At 48.2% G+C, this 21,144-nt stretch overlaps 2 long non-coding RNA genes across 10 annotated transcripts, besides 5 other annotated features; one reads left to right on the top strand and one right to left on the bottom strand.

The window, feature by feature from the left end:
- Positions 2,652–2,821: an enhancer, noted in NCBI's record as "active region_820". NCBI's record gives its function as "activates an Ori minimal core promoter by ATAC-STARR-seq in GM12878 lymphoblastoid cells {active_cell/tissue: GM12878}" and the evidence as "EXISTENCE:reporter gene assay evidence [ECO:0000049][PMID:35858748]".
- Positions 2,652–3,665: a biological region, named in NCBI's record as "H3K4me1 hESC enhancer GRCh37_chr1:40282415-40283410".
- Positions 2,670–3,665: an enhancer, noted in NCBI's record as "H3K4me1 hESC enhancer chr1:40282415-40283410 (GRCh37/hg19 assembly coordinates)". NCBI's record gives its function as "activates a minimal SCP1, AML or CMV promoter by ChIP-STARR-seq in naive H9 embryonic stem cells {active_cell/tissue: H9 hESC(naive)}" and the evidence as "EXISTENCE:reporter gene assay evidence [ECO:0000049][PMID:30033119]".
- LINC02811 (long intergenic non-protein coding RNA 2811) lies at positions 2,948–18,994 on the top strand. The gene is made up of 4 exons (NR_186710.1): positions 2,948–3,159; positions 7,402–7,473; positions 11,037–11,354; positions 18,924–18,994. It is a non-coding gene; the product is annotated as a long intergenic non-protein coding RNA 2811 (long non-coding RNA).
- Positions 10,973–20,967, bottom strand: LOC130932201 (uncharacterized). Of its 9 annotated transcripts, none has more exons than NR_186713.1 (5): positions 20,827–20,967; positions 20,017–20,082; positions 15,376–15,530; positions 12,210–12,406; positions 10,973–11,346 (listed from the first exon to the last, which is right to left on the bottom strand). It is a non-coding gene; the product is annotated as an uncharacterized LOC130932201 (long non-coding RNA). The 9 variants fall into 9 exon arrangements; NR_186716.1 differs by lacking the exon at positions 20,017–20,082 and adding an exon at positions 17,263–17,424; NR_186717.1 differs by having other exon boundaries at positions 20,017–20,156; positions 20,937–20,967.
- Positions 20,383–20,915: an enhancer, noted in NCBI's record as "H3K4me1 hESC enhancer chr1:40265165-40265697 (GRCh37/hg19 assembly coordinates)". NCBI's record gives its function as "activates a minimal SCP1, AML or CMV promoter by ChIP-STARR-seq in primed H9 embryonic stem cells {active_cell/tissue: H9 hESC(primed)}" and the evidence as "EXISTENCE:reporter gene assay evidence [ECO:0000049][PMID:30033119]".
- Positions 20,883–21,112: an enhancer, noted in NCBI's record as "active region_819". NCBI's record gives its function as "activates an Ori minimal core promoter by ATAC-STARR-seq in GM12878 lymphoblastoid cells {active_cell/tissue: GM12878}" and the evidence as "EXISTENCE:reporter gene assay evidence [ECO:0000049][PMID:35858748]".

Raw genomic sequence — 21,144 nt, 5'->3', positions numbered from 1 at the left:
GACAGTGAGGCCCAGAGACAGAGAGGAGCTTCCGGGCTTCTCATTCTTCAGATCCTGGTTCTCAGGCCTCTTGAGGTCTGGCTGCCCCTACCCTCGGGTTCCATGTGCCATCTCTGAAGACGTGATTAAAAGCTCTCAGCTGGAGCTTGCCTGAGTGAATTTCTGTTCTGTGCCACTGATTCTTGGTTAGCATTGTTCCCACTGATGGTCACCATCACGCTCAAGATCACAGCAGACATTTCCATAGCCCTCACCACGTGCAAGACTGTTCTGAGAGCTTTACATGTAACGACCCATTAAATCCTCGTAATAGTCCCATGAGGTAGGACAACTATCATCCCCATTTTTACATTTTCTTCTTCTTTTGTCCTCGCTTTTCAATAAAGAGATGGAGCTAAAGAGAAGATAAGTAGTAACTTGTTCGTGGACATACAGCTAATAAGTGTATGAGCTCATATTCAGCATTGCAGTTTTATCACATTTTATTGAGCAAAAGTTTGTACATATTTTTTAATTGGAAGAATGCAGTTCTAAATGCCAAGCACCAAGAGGGCCCTGAGTGAGTCCCTTCTCCTGTCTAGGCTCAGGATCCTTGCCAGAAGCATGAGGCCAGGTGGGCTGGGAACCAGCCTGCTCAGCCCGCCCAACACATCCTGCCTCTCACTTTCCCGGGACTGGCAGCGGAAGCGCGGGAAGGAGCTGCTGGGCCGGGTACAGGGCTTGGCGGCAAAGTGGGTTGTGCAGCGGGAGGCCAGAGCCGCGCCCTGGCACCTGGCAGGCAGCCCAGCCCCACCGTTGAGAAAATACCTACAACAAAGGCATCCTCCCACCAACAAAGGCGTCCTCCCACCAACAAAGGCATCCTCCCACCAACAAAGGCGTCTTCCCACCAACAAAGGCGTCCTCCCACCAACAAAGGCGTCCTCCCACCAACAAAGGCGTCCTCCCACCACACTGGCCACCTCTCCTTGTCCCTGCAACTCCTTGGCTGAGGAATCTGACTTCTGGGCCAGGACAGGTTGGGTCCTTACATGGCCTCAGGAGGCTACAGAGAGGCCTTGGGGCCCAGCCTGGAACACCTTCCTGGCTCTCCTGGGTGGACGTCCCAGAGAGTGGTCCTGGTTCACCCCACATTGCATAGACTCCAGGCCAACTGCCACCCGGGCACGGTGCTGCGCTTCCTGAGCCTCCGAACACTGCCATCCTCCTCCATGATGTCCGAGGCAGGTGGCTTCACAGATCTAGGTCCTGGAATCCCCCCAGCCAGGAGCTCCCCCTCAGAGCAGTGGCTTGTCTTATGTGCACTCTGGACACAGGTGTGTCTGTGGTGAACAAGAAATGGCCCTGCAAAGGAATTTGGACATAATCCACAATGGGCGTTTGGGAGAGTCAGTCTGGACTGGGGCCTGGGAGAATGAAAAGTCAGGAGCCCCTGAGACTCCAAGAGTGTTGGCATGGGTCTTGGCGGACATATCTTAAGCAAAGCACTAGAAGCTCCTCTGAGAGGTCCAGCCTCCTGAGGTGGTAGCCCATGGCCAATTCCATCCCTCCTTCTCCTGAGCAACACCTGAGGGCCATGGGTTTGGGGAAAAGACCAGCTTGCTGCAACTCTTTCATTCAAATAGCAACTGGCCCTGGAGCTCCAGGCCAACATCAAGCCTTGCTCCACCCCTGCGCTTTAGGGACTGTTGCCATCAGGGCACTGCCAACCTATGTGGTGCTCATGATGACTCAGAAATAAGAACCTGTTTCCTCTAGGCTGATACAGCCCTGCTCCAGCCCCCAGCAGTGCCAAGTGGAGCAGGGTGTGGACTGGCCTTCAACCCCGCTCACCTCTCCTCTATATGGTCTTGTGCAGACCCATCCTGCACTGTCTTATGCAGGTGCAATGCCTGTTAGGATAATCCCAAACATGACCCTGGGCCCCTGATCCCCAGGCCAAACCCCACCCCCTGACCTGGATATTCCCTGGGCTGACAAAAGGAGTTCGGCCAGGGAAGGCTCCTCTTCACTGGCCCAAACCAGCTTCAGACAGCGGGGCAAGGATGTAGGAGCCTTCTTCCCAGCAGAACCCCCGGCCCTGGAGTGGCCCCAGATGAGGCAGCTCCCATCTGTGTGGGTAGCCCTGAGGCTATCCTGAGGGCAGGATGCTGTGCAGGGGAGGAACGGACCTCCATTATGTGATTCTGGGTGGAAGGTAAACAAACCCTGGTTAGGCAGAGGTGGCACAAGCCCACAGCCTTGGGCTCAGCCTTCTGTCTCCCGAGCTCACTGCTCAGTGCCCAGTCCCAGGAAGCCCACAGGCTCTAGGCCTAGCCTGCCTCAATTTCCATTTGTTCCGCCCCCTCATGCACCTCAGGGCCCAGGGTGGCACCAGTGCCCACCACAGAACCAGGCTCAGAGCACATGTGGCACAAATGCTCATGGGATGAATGACGGACTAAAAGAATCATCCAGGCTGGGTGGGCATGGTGGCTCACGCCTGTAATCCCAGCACTTTGGGAGGCCAAGGCAGGAGGACTTGAGTCCAGGAGTTCAAGACCAGCCTGGGCAACATAGCAAGACCCTATCTCTACAAAAAAATTAAAAATCAGCCAGGTGTGGTGGTGCATGCTTGTAGTCCAGATACTTGGGAAGCTGAGCCCAAGAGGTCAAGTCTGCAGGGAGCCATGATTGCACCACCGCACTCCAGCTTGGGCGACAGAGCAAGACCCTGTCTATAAAAAAGAATCATCCAAAGGAAGAGGGCGCTCCTGAGGCAGGTGTGGGCATGGGCACCGTAGCCCGTAGCCGCAGCTCCTCCACTCCTGGCTTGGGCCTCTAAGCCTCACTTCCTCTCCCGTAGAACACTCATGAGACACACCTGCCTCGTGTGGGCCTGGGCAGCTTGCTGTTACTAATAAAACAGCAGCAACACAGGACAGCTTCACTTCCTGAAACTCCCTCTGTCACGTGCTTTGCATGAATCCTCACACCGTCTCACCAGGGGCGCTCTCCCAGTTTCACCAGTGACTTGGTGACAACCAGCATCGCTCACGAAGCGTCAGCCGTATCCTTTCTGTGTGCAGTGGGGTGTGGGTTGTGTGGAGCCGCGGTGTCTGTGGAATTCACAGGCTGGGGCCGGAATCCATGGCCCCCGTCGCCGCTGCCACCCCCCAGGTGCTGGGGTGACCTGATCCAGGGTTGGGGTCTAAGCTGCTGGGGGGTTGGAGTCTTGGGCTCTGGCCCACGTCCGCCTCTGATTGGTTCTACCACCTGAGCTGGTCACTGTCCCTCCATGGGCCTCAGCTTACCCTATGGTAAAGTGAGAACTAGGGGGTCAGACTCCTTGATCACCAAGATCTCTGACCACAGCCAAGGCTAAGGGAAGCGCAGGAAAACGTGGGTCCCGTTCAAATTCCCGGCCTCTCTCTGCCCCCTGGTGGACACAAACAGCCTAGCATCTCGGGGGAGATGACGGTGGGAACCAAGTGGTTCCCAGGGACTTGAGGACTGGCTTGTGACCTCTGCTAAGACTCTCACCGCTGAGTCACAGTCCCCATCTGTTAGATGGGGGTGACAATAGAACCAACACTATTAGGATGTTTTGAGGATTAAGTGCTGTGACAAATGGGAAACACTTGCTACTGAGCCACGCACATACAAAGTGTCCAATAAATGTTAGTCATCACTCTCACCCCGCCTTCTCCCTAACCTCTATATCCCATCAGTCACCAAGTGCTGCTGCTTCTTGCCCCTCTCGCACCCCCTGCATCCCTAGATGACGTCACATCATCTCCCTCCTGGATTCCTCCAAGGTTCACCACCTTCTCCCCAACCCCTCCAGCCATCCTGTGCCCCCACTCAGGGACCTCAGCTGTCCACTCCACAAGCCCAGACCTGAAAATGCCCCACTGTAGTCAGTTGTCCAAGTGCTTCAGCCCTGTCCTCAGGGACCCTGCCCCACCCCCATTCAGCCTTGGTCACCCTGAGCCTTTCTGTTCCCTGTATTCTGACCACACTCAGCTCCCAGCACCCTCTACTCAGGCCCAGTGCCTGCCTCCCAGGCAAGTCCAATTAAGGGATGCCTGATTAGTCTTTGCTTCCTTCCTCCTCCCCTAGCTCTGCAGGAGCCCAGAACCTCCCTAGGCCTCAGTTTCCTTATCTGCCAAATTGGACTGCAGGAGGATGAAAAGAGAGAATATGCTGAAGTACCTAGCCTAGAGTAGCCACTCCACAGAGGCAGGTGCCTGCAGCTGGGATGGAGGGTTCAGCTCTGTCACAGCATATTAGGAAATCATAACCTGCCATTTAGAAGGTGAGGGGTGAGATATAAAGAGAGCTCCAAGGCCCCACTGCAGACCCAACCCTGGCAGTAGTGTGCTCTGAGCAGTGAGTACAGACGCGACCTCCAGGCACAGCACAGAGCTGAGTTAGCCTCCTCCATGTGATCTCTCTCTCTCCATCCGCTGCAGGACCAGGTGTTCTCCACCTGGCTCAGTGGCTCCAGGGAGCAGGACAGGGACTAAAGTGCTGACAGCCCTGACTGTGATTTAGGAGGAGGGAGGCACACGAAATGAGGCAGACCCCTTCTGAACCTCTGTCAGGGCTGGGGTCAGAGATACAGACTGGAGTCCTAAGGGCCTGTACCCAAAGTCTGGGAGCCAAAGAGGGGGAGCCCTCAGTGGTCCTCCAGTTTATTTGGGGAAACTGAGGTGGGAATTGGGAAAATAAGTTCCTTAGGGTTACACAGAGCCTTCATTAACTCAACACATTTTTTCTTCTACTTAATATTTTGGCCAAGTAATATATTCGCGTCATTCAAGAAATCAACTATTTCTTCAAAGAATTGATATCCCTTAAGAAGTCTCAGCTGGGCACTGTGGCTGACACCTGTAATCCTAATAATTTCGGAGGCCAAGGCGGGAGGATTACTTGAGTCCATGAGTTCAAGACCAGCCTGGGCAATATAGTGAGACCTTGTCTCTAAAAAATGAGCAAAAAATTAGCCAGGTGTGGTGGCATGTGCCTGTAGTCCCAACTACTCAGGAGGCTGAGGTGGAAGGATCGCTGGACCCTGGGAGGTCAAGACTGTAGAGAGCCACAATCGTGTCACCACACTCCAGCCTGGGCAACAGTGAGCCCTTGTCTCAAAATAAACAAAGTCTCCCTGCTACTTCTACTTCTATCTTTATTCCATTGTCCACCTCATCCATCCACTATAAGTCAATTTTATTAGTTTCCTAGGTGTCTATTTCATATAAATAAAGCAAGTATCAAATGTTATTCCACCCTTTTACTCAAAGGAGAGTATACTCTGTTCTGCATCTTGCCTTTTTCATTTAACAATGTATTTTGTAGCTTATGTCAGTCCATAAAGAGCTTTCTTGTTTTGTGTGTGTGTGGAGTTTGTTCGTTTGTCAGCTGCCTAGTATTCCATGGTGAGGATGTTCTGTAGTTAATTTCACCAGTCCCTTCCTTAGTAATAGACATTTGAATTGTTTCCAGACTGACGCTATCACAAACCATCCTGTGATGAATAACCTTATGCACACAGGGCTGATGACTGGGCAGAATATCAGAGCATGCTGCACTAGTTTTTGAGTTTTTTGTTTGTTTTTTTGAAGACGGGTCTCACTCTAAATAAGAGTCTGATCTGCTGACCTAGGAGTTGTGCCATCTCATTGGCTGTGGTAGCTAAAGGAAAGGAGAGACTTTTTTTTTTTTTTTTTGAGACAGTCTCACTCTGTCGCCAGGCTGGAGTGCAGTGGCGTGATCTCGGCTCACTGCAACTTTCGCCTCCCAGGTTCAAGGGATTCTTCTGCCTCAGCCTCCTGAGTAGCGGGGACTACAGGCACGCACCACCATGCTCAGCTAATTTTTTTATTTTTAGTAGAGACGGGGTTTCACCACGTTGGCCTGGATGGTCTCGATCTCTTGACCTCGTGATCCGCCTGCCTCGGCCTCTCAAAGTGCTGGGATTACAGGCGTGAGTCACGGCGCCCAGCCAAAAGGATAGACTTCTAATCATTGTCTCTAGAGCATGGTATCCTGTTGATAAGGAGCATAACTCATAGTATTATAGGGAACCAGGAGTCCATGTATACACTCGCTGGGACTGTCCTCTTCACCCAGGGACCAAGCAAGGGAAACATGATCCAAGAGGCAGTGTCATTGTCAATAATTATAGAAGATTATAGGTGAGCCAGAAAGCAACCCTCTTCCCTAATAAAAAGATATTCCGGTAGGGTGTAGTGGCTCACGCCTGTAATCCCAGCACTGTGGGAAGCTAAGGCGGGCAGATCACTTGAGGTCAGGAGTTCGAGACCAGCCTGGCCAACATGGTGAATCCCTGTCTCTACTATAAATACAAAAAAATTAGCCGGGTGTGGTGGCGCATGCCTGTAATCCCAGCTACTCGGAAGGCTGAGGCAGGAGGCAGGGATGCCTCCAAGTCCCTTGAACCTGGGAGGCAGAGGTTGCAGTGAACCAAGATTTAGCCATTGCACCCAGCCTGGGCAAGAGAGCAAGACTCCATCTCAAAAAAAAAAAAAAGAATTGGTGGGGGCCGGGCGCAGTGGCTCACACCTGTAATCCCAGCACTTTGGGAGGCCGAGGCAGGTGGACCACTTGGGGTCAGGAGTTTGAGACCAGCCTGACCAACAAGGTGAAACCCCGTCTCTACTAAAAATACAAAAATTAGCTGGGCATAATGGCCTGTAGTCCCAGCTACTCGGGAGGCTGAGACAGGAGAATTGCTTGAACCCGGGAGGTGGAGGTTGCGGTGAGCCGAGATCCTGACACTGCACTCCAGCCTGTCCAGCCTGGGCGACAGAGCGAGACTCCATCTAAAAATATATATATATATATATATATATACACACACACACACACACACACACACACACACACATATATATACACACACATATATATACACACATATATATATACACACTATATATATACACACACACATATATATATATACACACACACACACACATATATATATACACACACATATATATATATTCCATGGCCCACTCTCCCCAACATACAAACGTATGCCTCCAAGTCCCTTGGGGTGGTGTTGCGGGTCCATATGGTGGCTGTACAGACAGTGGGTTGCAGCACAGCTGAAGAACTGACCTGGCATCTTTTCAGCAAGCAGTGAACACACGAGTCCCCCTACTCCAGGGATGGGCAGTTGCATGGCAGTCATGCTCAGGTGCCCTGATCTACTTAGTGGCCTATGTGAATAGTTACAGGACCTGCTCACTGTTACAGGATGATAAGCCTTGAAGTTTGGCACACTTAGCAAGGACTGACAGGAACACTCAGCACCCATGGCAGACTACCTTTCCTAACAGAGACATAGAGATTCTGCGAGGTCTAACTCACATATACTTGTATTCCAAGGATACAAGTGGAGGACAGAAATGAGGCAGAAGTGATAAGTTGAAGAGCACGGCCAAGAATTTTCCAAAACAGGTAAAAATCATCAAACCACAGTTAAACAAGAAGACTTTTGGAGGCTGGTGCAGTGGCTCACACCTGTAATCCCAGCACTTTGGGAGGCTGAGGAGGGCGGAACACGAGGTCAGGAGATCGAGACCATACCGGCTAACATGGTGAAACCCCGTCTCTACTAAAAATACAAAAAAATTAGCCGGGCTTGGTGGCGGGCGCCTGTAGTCCCAGCTACTCGGGAGGCTGAGGCAGAAGAATGGTGTGAACCAATGGGAGAAGAATGGGAGAACCAATGACGGGAAGAATGGGAGGCAGAGCTTGCAGTGAGCCGAAATCGCGCCACTGCACTCGAGCCTGGGCAACAGAGTGAGACTCCATCTCAAAAAATAAAAAAATAAATAAATAAATATAAATAAGTTAGCCACCCGTGGTGGACATGCATGTGGTTCCAGTTACTTCAGAGGCTGAGGCAAGAAGATCACTTGAGCCCAGGAGGGAGATGCTGCAGTGAGCCGGTGTTTGAGCCACTGCACTCCATCCTGGTCAATGGAGTGAGACCCTATCTCAAAAAAAAAAAAACAACAACAACAACAACAAAAATTGCTGGGCATGGTGGCTCATGCCTGTAATCCTAGCACTTTGGGAGGCCGAGCCAGTCGGATCACTTGAGTCCAGGAGTTTGAGACCGCCCTGGGCAATATGGTGAAACCCTGTCTCTACTAAAAATATAAAAATTAGCCAGGCGTGGTGGCACGTGCCTATGGTCCCAGCTACTCAGGAGGCTGAGGCACGAGAATCGTTTGAACCCGGGAGGTGGAGGCTGCAGTGAACCAAGGTCTCTCCACTGCACTCCAGCCTGGGCAACAGAGCGAAACTCTATCAAAAAGAAAAAGAAAGAAGAAAGGAAAGAAAGAAGGAAGGAAGGAAGGAAGGAAGGAAAGAAGCCTTATGAATTATAACAGGATTAAAAGAAAAGTATACCTATGCACATCAGAGTAAAATGGCCAAAAACCAAAGACAATTTTTTCTTTTTTGATACAGGGTCTCACTCTGTTGCCCAGGCTGGAGTGCAGTGGTACAGCCGTGGCTCACTGCAGCCTCCACCTCCCAGACTCATGTGATCCTCCCACCTCAACCTCCTGAGTAGCTGGGACTACAGGCACATGCTGCCACGCCTGGCTAATTTTTTTTGTGTTCCACACCCGGCTAATTTTTGTGTATGTTTTGTACAGACAGGTTTTCAACATGTTGCCCAGGCTGATCTTGAACTCCTGGGCACAGCCATCCACCTGCCTCAGCCTCCCAAAGTGCTGAGATTACAGGCATGAGCCACCACGCCTGGCTGGATGAAATCTTAAAAGCAGTCAGAGAAAAGGGCAGTTTTACCTTCAAAGGAAGACTAGACTAACAGTTGACTTTTCAACAAAAATAATGCAAGCCAGGAGACACTGAATAATATGCAGTTGTCCCTCAGTATGTGTGGGGGATTTGTTTCAGAACAAATTTTATATAAGGGACTTGATCATCCATGGATACCAAAATCTTGATATGTTGCCCAGGCTGGTCTCAAACTCCTGGGCTCAAATCATCCTCTACCTCAGCCTCCCAGAGTGCTGGGATTATAGGCATGAACCACTACACCCAGATTGTATTCTGTTTTTTATTTATGTTATTTTTTATTGTTGTATTGTTATTTTTAAAAATTATTTTTCCCCGACTTTTTTATTTATTTATTTATTTTGAGGTGGAATCTTGCTCTGTCGCCCAGGCTGGAGTGCAGCGGTGCGATCTTGGTTCACTGCAACCTCCACCTCCCTGGTTCAAGCAATTCTCCTGCCTCTGTCTCCCGAGTAGCTGGGATTACAGGCGCCCGCCACCACCCACAGCTAATTTTTGTAGTTTTAGTAGTGACAAGGTTTCACCATGTTGGCCAGGCTGGTCTCGAACTCCTGACCTCAGGGGATCTGCCCACCTTGGCCTACCAAAGTGTTGGCATTACAGGTGTGAACCACTGTGCCTGGCCTCCCCAAATATTTTTGATCCATAGTTGGTTGAATCCGTAGATGCAGAATCCCAATAGAGAAGGCCAACTGTACTCAAAGGGCTTAAAGAAAATCGCTGCCTGTCTAGAACTCTATACTCAGCAAAAACATCCTTTAAAAATTAAGGTAACATAAGGCTTTTTCAGACAAAAAATTAAAAAGATAGTTCTTTCCAGCAGCCCCATATTGAAGGAAATAACATAGGGTGCTTTTCTGTCGGAAAGAAAATAACCCCAGATGGAAGCTCAAAAATGTAAGAACGACTAAAAAACAATGAAAATGGCTGGCTGCAGTGGCTCACACCTGTAACCCCAGCACTTTGGGAGGCCGAGGCGGGTGGATCACCTGAGGCCAGGATTTTGAGACCAGCCTGGCCAACATGGTGAAACCCCGTCTCTACTAAAAATACAAAAATTAGCCGGGCATGGTGGTGGATGCCTGTAATCCCAGTTACCCAGGAGGCTGAGGCAGGAGAATCACTGGAACCCAGGAGGCAGAGGCTGCAGTGAGCCAAGATCACGCCACTGCACTCCAGCCTGGGCAACACAGCAAGACTCCATCTCAACAACAACAAAAAATAGATCTAGATGTGTATGTGTCTGAACACACACATTGACGTAGTTCCTTGTTCTGTCTGCTGAGACTGCCTGAAATCAGTGGCACTCTGGCAGCACTGAACATCTTTGGCGCCCATTATAGATGGCATTCTCAGTGCTGGACTAGGGCTCCTTGTGGGCTGGAGCAAGAAATGTACAAGATGAACCTAGAATACCTTGCTGTGCCAGGAAATAAATAAATGCTCAAAGAATTATGAAGACACACTAAAGGGCGCAGCTGCCAACTTGAAGCATCTTCCACTGGCCAAATCTAAGATAGTATGACTTTCAAAATAGGTATCAAGTAATGGATTGTAGTTCATTGAGAAAAATAGGAATCCACGTGTTTATATGATATAAATAGATAAATGAATAAATACATTGGGGAGAATGGAAAGCTCTGTTTCGTCATAGAATAAGAATATTAACTAATAAATGTAAAAAAATGTTGAAATTAGAAAAACCTTGGCCTAGAGCAGTGGTTCACACCTGTAATCCCAGCACTTTTGGAGGCCGAGGTGGGTGGGTCACCTGAGGTCAGGAGTTCGAGACCAGCCTGACCAATATGGTGAAACCCCATCTCTAGTAAAAATACAAAAATTAGCTGGCTGTGGTGGTGGGTGTATGTAATCCCAGCTACTGCGGAGGCTGAGGCAGGAAGATTGCTTGAACCCAGGAGGCAGAGGTTGCAGTGAGCCGAGATTGTGCTACTGCACTCCAGCCTGGGCAACAGAGTGAGACTCTGTCTTAAAAAAATAAAAATAAAAATAAAAAAAGGGAAAATCTTCACTTGGCAACCATCGTAGTAGTAATTGATTTGGGTTGAAACTGGGTGAAGCAACTTTGATATGGAACAGGATATTTTTATACTCTCAGAACATCTCCCTATGAAATATTTATTCATTACTCATCACTTAACACGTACTAAATACTGTTAACTTTCCAGTGGAGAAACCTGGCAGACATCATCTTAGCCAAGTGGTAAACATTAACATCAGCAGTAATGGGACAAGTTGACATTGTGTGACTCCTAATATGGTACACTGAGAAGAATGTCGCATCGTTTCTGTGGTATTCCTGCCAGAGATGCATAAATCATGAGGACACAGCAGACAAATCCAAACTGAAGACAACCTACAAAGTCATTGACCTGTATTTTTCAAAAATCTTGGCCAGAGAAGGGAAGCCTGAAGAATTGTTCTAGAATAAATTAGACTGAAGAGACTCCTTGAAGGCGACTGAATTGGATGCTGGGCCTGTAAAGGTAATTTGGGGGACAATTAGTGTAATTTGTTGTTGTTGTTGCTTGCTTTTTAGTTTTTTTAAATTTTTATTTATTTATTTATTTTATTTTTTATTTTTATTTTTATTTTTTTGGTATTTATTGATCATTCTTGGGTGTTACTCGCAGAGGGGGATTTGGCAGGGTCATAGGACAATAGTGGAGGGAAGGTCAGCAGATAAACATGTGAACAAGGGTCTCTGGTTTTCCTAGACAGAGGACCCTGCGGCCTTCCGCAGTGTTTGTGTCCCTGGGTACTTGAGATTAGGGAGTGGTGATGACTCTTAAGGAGCATGCTGCCTTCAAGCATCTGTTTAACAAAGCACATCTTGCACCGCCCTTAATCCATTTAACCCTGAGTGGACACAGCACATGTTTCAGAGAGCACGGGGTTGGGGGTAAGGTTATAGATTAACAGCATCCCAAGGCAGAAGAATTTTTCTTAGTACAGAACAAAATGGAGTCTCCAATATCTACTTCTTTCTACACAGACACAGTAACAATCTGATCTCTCTTTCTTTTCCCCACATTTCCCCCTTTTCTATTCGACAAAACCGTCATCATCATCATGGCCCGTTCTCAATGAGCTGTTGGGTACACCTCCCAGACGGGGTGGCGGCCGGGCAGAGGCGCCCCCCACCTCCCAGACGGGGCAGTGGCCGGGCGTAGGTGCCCCCCACCTCCTGGACGGGGCAGCTGCCGGGCGGAGGGGCTCCTCACTTGGCAGACGGGGTGGCTGCCGGGCGGAGGGGCTCCTCACTTCCCAGACAGGGCGGCTGCCGGGTGGAGGGGCTCCTCACTTCTCAGACGGGGCGGCCGGGCAGAGACGCTCCTCACCTCCCAGATGGGGTGGCGGTCGGGCAGAGACACTCCTCAGTTCCCAGACGGGGTCACGGCCGGGCAGAGGCGCTCCTCACTTCCCAGACGGGGTGGCGGCCAGGCAGAGGCTGCAATCTCGGCACTTTGGGAGGCCAAGGCAGGCGGCTGGGAGGTGGAGGTTGTAGCTAGCCGAGATCACGCCACTGCACTCCAGCCTGGGCAACATGGAGCACTGAGTGAGCGAGACTCCGTCTGCAATCCCGGCCCCTCGGGAGGCCGAGGCAGGCAGATCACTCGCGGTCAGGAGCTGGAGACCAGCCCGGCCAACACGGTGAAACCCCGTCTCCACCAAAAAATGCAAGAACCAGTCAGGTGTGGCGGCGCGCGCCTGCAATCCCAGGCACTCTGCAGGCTGAGGCAGGAGAATCAGGCAGGGAGGTTGCAGTGAGCCGAGATGGCGGCAGTACAGTCCAGCCTCGGCTTTCACAACTTTGGTGGCATCAGAGGGAGACCGGGGAGAGGGAGAGGGAGAGGGAGAGGGAGACGAGGGAGATGAGGGAGACGAGGGAGACGAGGGACGAGGGAGAGGGGAGAGGGCAGAGGGGAGAGGGGAGAGGGAGAGGCTTTTTAGGTTTTTTTGAGACAGGAACTCACTCTGTCACCCAGGCTTGAGTGCAGTGGCGTGATCTCGGCTTACTGCAACCTCTGCTTCCTGGGCTCAAGCGATCCTCCCATCTCAGCCTCCCAAGTAGCTGGGACTACAGGTGTGCACCACCACGTCCAGCTAATTTTTCTGTATTCTTTGTAGAGACAAGGTTTTACCATGTCTCCCAGGTTGGTCTTGAACTCCTAGGCTCAAGTGATCTGCCTGCCTTGGCCTCCCAAAGTGCTGGGCTTACAAGCATAAGTCACCACGCCCAGCCAATTGGTGTAATTTGAATGGAGTTAATGCATTAGTTTATATGGTTAAATAGTAGTATTTTATCAGTATTAATTTTCTGGTTCTGATTTTGTAAGGGTAATGTAGGAGAGTATAATTTTTTTTGAAATACATACTGAAGTATTAAGAGTAATGGGGCATAATATATACAATTTACTTTCAAATGGGTTGGAAAAATTACATATACTAATATAATATATATTATATATAAGGGATAGATAGAGAGAATAAGGCAAATGAGTAATCTAAGGGAAGAGTGTATGGATGGTCTTAGAACTATTTCAAAACTTCTGCAAGTTTGAAATTATTTCAAACTAAAAAGTTTATAAGAAAGTGAATCAATAAAAAAGATATATTATGCAAATACCAACCAAACAATGCTGTTATAACTATATTAATATCAGAAAAAGTAGACTTTAAGGCAAAAATAATTATTAGAAATAAAGAGAGCTGGGCGCAGTGGCTCACACCTGTAATCCCAGCACTTTGGGAGGCCGAGGCCAGCGGATCATGAGGTCAGGAGATTGAGACCATCCTGGCTAACACAGTGAAACCCCTGTCTCTACTAAAAATACAAAAAAGTTAGCCAGGCGAGGTGGCGGGTGCCTGTAGTCCCAGCTACTCCGGAGGCTGAGGCAGGAGAATGGCATGAACCCGGAAGGCGGAGCCTGCAGTGAGCCGAGATTGCGCCACTGCACTCCAGCCTGGGCGACAGAGCAAGACTCCGTCCCCCTCAAAAAAAAAAAAAAGAAATAAAGAGAGACTGCCGGGCGAGGTGGCTCACGGTTGTAATCCCAGCACTTTGGGAGGCCGAGGCGGGTGGATCACGAGGTCAGCCCAGCCAACACAGTGAAACCCTGTCTCTGCTAAAAATACAAAAATTAGCTGGGTGTGGTGGTGGGCACCTGTAATCCCAGCTACTCAGGAGGCTGAGGCAGAAGAATCGCTTGAACCTGGGAGGTGGAGGTTGCAGTGAGCTGAGATCATGCCACTGCACTCCAGCCTGGGCGACAGAGCTAGACTCCCTCTCAAAAATAAATAAATAAATAAATAAATAAATAAATAAATAAATAAATAGAAACACTTCATTAAAAAAAGTTCAACCCATCAAAAGATGAACTAATTCTAAGCCAAGCATGGTAGCACGTGCTGTAGTTCCAGCTACTCCAGAGGCTGAGGTGGGACGATCCCTTGAGCTCAGAAATAAGACCAAATCAGCCTAGGCAGGGAGACATCATCTCTAAAAAAAGTAAAATTAAAAAAAGATAAAATAACTCTAAACTTAGATTCTCCAACAACATAGCCTCAAAATACTTAAAGCAAAAACTGACAGAACTCAAAAAAGAAATAGACAAATTCAAAACCACAATGGGAATTTTAACATACTTCTCAATAATGGGTCAAAAAATTAGCCAGGTGTGGTGGCACATGCCTGTAGTCCCAGCTGCCCAGGAGGCTGAGGTGGGAGGATTGCTTAAGCTTGGGAAGTCGAGGCTGTGGTGAGTCATGACCACACCACTGCGCTCTAGCTTGGGTGACAGAGCAAGACTCTCAATAAAAAAGAAAGAAGAAAGGAAGGAAGGAAAGAAAGAAAAGGAAAGGAAAGAGGGAAAAAGGGACACAAAAAAAGAAATGTCAGAAATGAAAAGGGAGAAATCACTATAGATCCTACAGATGATGGTAACTCATACATTTCAGGTAGAATTGTAAATGCGTACTAGCATTTAGAAATCAGTTTGGTATTGTTTACTAAAGTTGAAGGTATACATATCCTGTCACCCAAAGTTTTATTCTTAGGTGTACAGCCAAGAGACACATATGCACTTTTGGGAAAAAAAACCCTCAAATATTTATTAATAGTACAATGTATAAGTGAAAAATACTATGCAGCAATGAAAACAAACTACTGTTTTATGCAATAGCATGGATGATGCTCACAAACCTATTATTGAGTAAAACAAAACAAAAAAAACCTTACCCCCCAAAATATATACTGTATGATTCTACTTACATAAAGTTCAAAAATAGCAAAAAAATAGTGTTTGGTATTTGAAGTCAGGGAAATCAACAAGAGGTGACAAAACACTTATCCTCAGGACTAGCAAGAACAGAAAAGTGTTATTACTCCTAAGCCTAAAGGAACAAGGGGAGAAGATGTCGCTAGAATCCTACATAAGAGATGACACCTGGATGGACTTATGACCTTTAAGTAGAGGACAGGGAGGGATCTGGGGAAATGAATACCCTGATCTCTTTTTCCTCCCATGCTTGTCTTCTGCCAGTGCTCCCCGTTGGTCAAGCCCAATCAGAAGGTGGAGAGTAGGAAATCCATTTCCTGCAGCTTATAAAGGTTGGCTTCCAGGAACACAGAACAAGATGGAGAAGAATAAATAATGGATCTGGAGGAGAAAACAGAGAACACTAGAGTAGTATTAAATCTGGAAGAAAAATTATTGGATTGTCTAATAAATTTTACAAAAAATGTAGTTATTTGATAACAAAAGTAAACCATATAATGAACTTTTAAATTTTTCCAAGGTATTATTGACTCCTGAAACTTGGCCAGATGGTGCCTGCAAAATTCTATGGGTTCAGGTAAAAAAAGATTACTACAATTAAGCAAATTAATTAAATATGACATTCAAATTAATCATCTTGGCCAGGCACAATGACTCACACCTATAATCCCAGCACTTTGGGAGGCTGAGGCAGGAGGATCGCTTGAGCCTAGGGTTTGAGACCAGACTGGGCAATAGAGTGAGACCTCATATCTACAAAAAGTTTAAAAATTAGCTGAGTGTGCTGGTGCATGCCTGTGATTCAGGACTCAGGTGATGCCACCTCCTCAGAGGACCTTCCCTGAGCAACCCATCTGGAGTAGAACCCCCACCTCAAGCTGGGCGTGGTGACTCAGGCCTGTAATCCCAGCACTTTGGGAGCCAAAAGCAGGCAGATCACTTGAGGTTAAGAGTTCGAGGCCAGCCTGGCCAACATGGTGAAACCCGGTCTCTCCTAAAAATACAAAAATTAACTGGGTGTGGTGACGTGTGCCTGTAGTCTCAGCAACTCAGGAGGGTGCGGCAGAAGAATTGCTTAAACCCGGGAGGCAGAGGTTGCAGTGACCCAAGATTGCACCACCGCACTCTAGCACTCTGTTGCACTCCAGGCAACAGAGCAAGACCCCATTTAAAAAAAAAAAAAATCTTCAGAGCAATGGAAAGGTATCAAAGGATTGCTTGTTGGGGAGAAGTATAACCTTATTTGCATTTGAAAACAAGTACCCCTGCAACCATCTCCTAACTCCTCTCCCCCCACACAGTCTCATCTCCTGCCAATGAATAGTGCAAAGTTCCAGAGAAGCCTGGAGGGATGGAATTCTGAGCACAGAAGGAACATCTTTCAGCAGTGAGAAGGAAAGGAGGATTAGGCAGCTATAACATTAGGTGATCTGCTGAGAGCGAGGAGCTAGAAGGGAAGCTTGAAGTCTGAGGACAGTGCAACTAAACATCAAAATGCACTGGAATTGTCTAACGGCATTGAGGTTGGTGACTGAATTTATAGTGTTACTTACACCCCCAGTAGTTCTTAAAAAATGCTTCCTGGCCTGGCTGTAAGCATAAAGGAGAGGCATAGTTAGGTTCACCTAGAGTTTGGAGGGTTTGTTTTGTTTTGTTTCTTGAAACAGAGTCAGGCTGGGCACGGTTGCTCATGCCTGTAATCCCAGCACTTTGGGAGGCCGAGGCGGGCGGATCATGAGGTCAGGAGATCGAGAGCATCCTGGCTAATGCAGTGAAACCCCGTCTGTAATAAAAATACAAAAAATTAGCCGGGCGAGGTGGCGGGTGCCTGTAGTCCCAGCTACTCCGGAGGCTGAGGCAGGAGAATGGCGTGAACCTGGGAGGCGGAGCTTGCAGTGAACCGAAATCGCACCACTGCATTCCAGTCTGGGTGACAGAGCAAGACCCCGTCTCAAAAAAAAAAAAAAAAAAATAGAAACAGTCTCGCTCTGTTGTCCAGGCTGGAATGCAGTGGTGCAATCATAGCTCACTGCAGCCTCGATCTCCAGGGCTCCAGAAATCCTCCCACCTCAGCCTCCTGAGTAGCTGGGACTACAGGTTCACACCACTATACCTGGCTATTTTTTTTTTCCCCAGTACAGTCAAGGTCTCTTTGTGTTGCTCAGGCGGCCTCGAACTCCTGAGTTCAAGTGATCCTCCCGCGTTGGCCTCGGTGCTGGGATTACAGGCGTGAGCCACCATGCCTGAACATGTTTGGAGTTTTGATAGGTTGGTGCTGAGGACAAAGGGAGAGCCAAGGATTTTAGGATGTTTGCAAGGAAGTGATTGAAATGATGGAACATGACATTTAAGCTGGTTAAAGAGGAAAATGGAGGCAGAAATGAGTTGATGGATAGGCAGAAATTGAAGGAGGTCTTGAGGAGGCCTAGAAAGAGAAGTGGCTTGATTGGTGGAGCAAGCAAGCAGGAAAGACATGAATTTGTGGGCCCAACGGTAGTCCGGGGCTTTGACTAGTTGCAGAGGGTTGTCAGGGACATCGGGGCACGGTGAAGTGGGGAAGGACGGCATTGTGATGGGGAGATAAGGAACTGAAAAGCCGGGGGTAGGAGGGGCAGAGCCATGGACAATGGTCCTGGACCTTTCTTTGTAGATTAAAACTTTTCAGATGATCTTGGCAGCACTTGTGTGGGGAATGTGTGGAAGAACAAGATTTCACGTTTTGTTTATATTAAAATTTTGGAGACTCATGTTCACCCTGGAGTGGACACTTTTTTTTTTTTTTTTTTGAGACAGGCCCTTGCCCAGGTTGGCGTGCAATGGCGCGATCTCGGCTCACTGCAACCTCGGCCTCCCGGGTTCAAGTGATTCTCCTGCCTCAGCCTCTCAAGTAGCTGGGATTACAGATGTGCACTACCACGCCCAGCTAATTTTTGTATTATTAGTAGAGATGGAGTTTCACCATGTTGGCCAGGCTGGTCTCAAACTCCTGACCTCAGGTGATCCACCCGCCTCGGCCTCCCAAAGTGCTGGGATTACAGGCGTGAGCCACCGCGCCCGGCTGGAGTGGACACTTAACATTTAAATGTATTACAATTATGAGGCCAGGCGCAGTGGCTCACGCCTGTAATCCCAGTACTTTGGGGAGGCTGAGGCAGGTAGATCACTTGAGGTCGGGAGTTTGAGGCCAGCCTGGCTAACATGGCAAAACCCTGTCTCTATTAAAAATACAAAAACTAGCTGGGTGTGGTGGCACGCATCTGTAATCCCAGCTACTCAGGAGGCTGAGGCATGAGAATTGCTTGAACCCAGGAGGCAAAGGTTGTAGTGAGGCGAGATTGTGCCACTGCACTCCAGCCTGGGCAACAGCGAGACTCCATCTCAAAAATAATAATCATAATAAATAAATAAATATATTACAATTAGGCCCTAGATGTCAAAAGGTCTTTTCAGGACACAAAAGCGCTCAAGTGCACAGCCTCTGTAAACTGGCCAGAACCAGTCCGTGGTCGGTGGTCTTACTATCAGGAGAAAATTATTGATATCAGTCTCTTGTCCAGTCCAAGCTGTAGTTATGGCTTATGGAAACAGTGGTCAGTTAGTGGATGTGCTGCAATTATTTTCATATTGCTTATCTCAAGGCCAGTGCTTATTGTTCTGCTAGAGAAAACGAAAAACCTTGTGGCTGTTAGAACTTAGTTTATTCTTTAAGTGTAGGGGTGGGTGACTTAACCCTTGCCTGGCCTGGCCTGTATCTTTTTTTTTTTTTTTTTTTAGATGGAATCTCACTCTGTTGCCCAGGCTGGAGTGCAATGGCGTGATCTTGGCTCACCGCAACCTTCGCCTCCCAGGTTCAAGTGATCTTCCTGCCTCAGCCTCCCAAGTAGCTGGGATTACAGATGTGCACTACCATGCCCGGCTAATTTTTGTATTTTTAGTAGAGACAGGGTTTTGCCATGTTGGCCAGGCTGGTCTCAAACTCCTGACCTCAAGTGATCTGCCCGCCTCAGCCTCCCCAAAGTGCTGGGATTACAGGCGTGAGCCACCGCGCCCAGCCTATAATTTTGTATCTTATTGCCACAAAAGTCTGTTCTGTCAGTCTTATGCTCTCTATTTTAACATCAATGCTGGTCAGCTGTTGTGTCTAAACTACAAAGGGGACCTCCTGTCCTGCCATGGCTGGAACTCCATTCCTAAGTTTTTTCTGGTGTCCCCTTGGCCAAGGGGGGCATCCATTCAGTTGGTGGGGGACTTAGGATTTTATTTTTAGTTTACAGTAGGTAACTTTCGGTGGAGAAGGACGTCATAAAGAAATGTGAGAAATATTTACTTCTGAATAGTGGAAAAACTACATTAAAGTTGGTGGGGCACAGCTTAGCTGGGTTTTAGCAGCACTTACAGACAAATTTATATATTTAAGTACATTTAGTGGAAAACAATACATGTAAAAATAAACAAGCCCCCAAGAGAATGCCAATGAAAAGGAGCAAAATACCGCCACATGTTACAACATAGATTAATCCTCAATAACATTAAGTGCACAAAATGCCACATATTGTGGCAAGCCCATGCCCACACCTGCCTTGGGAGGCCCTCTTCCTTTGGAAGACGGTTTTACTCATTCATTGCGTAAATCAATTTTTGTGAAATGTCCAGGAAAGGCAAATCTATATATAAAGTAGATTAGTGGTTGCCTAAGGCTGGGGGCAGGAAAGGGGATAAACTGTAAATGGGTGTGATATTTCTTTTTTGGGTGATTGAAATATTCTAAAATTGGGTTTTGATGATGGTTGCATAACTTTGTAACTGTACTAAAAATCATTGAATAGTATCCTTAAAGCAGGTGAATTTTATGGTGTGTAAATTATACCTCAATAAAACTGTTAAGGTGACCATTCAGTTTGAGTTGGTGAAAAAAGAGCAATAAAACAAATGCCTAAGCAGAAAGAAAGGACATAATAAAGTCAGAAACCAAAGAAAGAGAACAAATCAAAGGAAAAATATTTTAAGCTTTTTTTTAAGAAAAATTAATAAAATACATAAGGCTGTTGAGTTTATTTATCCAGAGGTGAGATAATTATCCCAGGGACTATGAGTTCATTTACAGCTTAAGTAAACAACTCTGGTTTCCAGTAACAGACATGTCATCTAAGCTTGCAGTCATTACATTCTTCACTGATGACAGGACTTGCCATCCCCATTCTAGGATCTGCCTTCTGTTGAGTGGCTAGTACCCATCCCATCCAAGCACTTTGCATGTATTATCTCCTTGCCTCCTCACAATTGCCCAAAGAGGTGGGTATTATAATCATTCCTATGTAACCGGTGGGAACTGGGGCTCAGAGGGATGGGTGCCTTGGCAGAGGTCACACAGTGTCGGGGTCATCTCCCCCCGGGTGCTAGGCTGCCGGCGTCCACCAGGGGGCAGAGAGAGGCTGGGAATTTGGACGAGCCCCACGTTTTCCTGCGCTTCCCTTAGCCTTGGCTGTGGTCAGAGATCTTGGTGATCAAGGAGTCTGACCCCCTAGTTCTCACTTTACCATAGGGTAAGCTGAGGCCCATGGAGGGTCAGTGACCGGCTCAGGTGGTAGAACCAATCAGAGGCGGACGTGGGCCAGAGCCCAAGACTCCAACCCCCCAGCAGCTTAGACCCCAACCCTGGATCAGGTCACCCCAGCACCTGGGGGGTGGCAGCGGCGACGGGGGCCATGGATTCCGGCCCCAGCCTGTGAATTCCACAGACACCGCGGCTCCACACAACCCACACCCCACTGCACACAGAAAGGATACGGCTGACGCTTCGTGAGCAAGGCTGGTTGTCACCAAGTCACTGGTGAAACGGGGAGAGCGCCCCTAGTGAGACGGTGTGAGGATTCATGCAAAGCACGTGACAGAGGGAGTTTCCGGAAGTGAAGCTGTCCTGTGGTTGCTGCTGTTTTATTAGTAATAGCAAGCGGCCCAGGCCCACACGAGGCAGGTGTGTCTCATGCGTGTTTTA

Source organism: Homo sapiens, chromosome 1 (genome assembly GCF_000001405.40).
Source record: "Homo sapiens chromosome 1, GRCh38.p14 Primary Assembly".
Lineage (NCBI taxonomy): Eukaryota > Metazoa > Chordata > Mammalia > Primates > Hominidae > Homo > Homo sapiens.
This window is presented reverse-complemented; position numbering and strand designations above follow the sequence as displayed.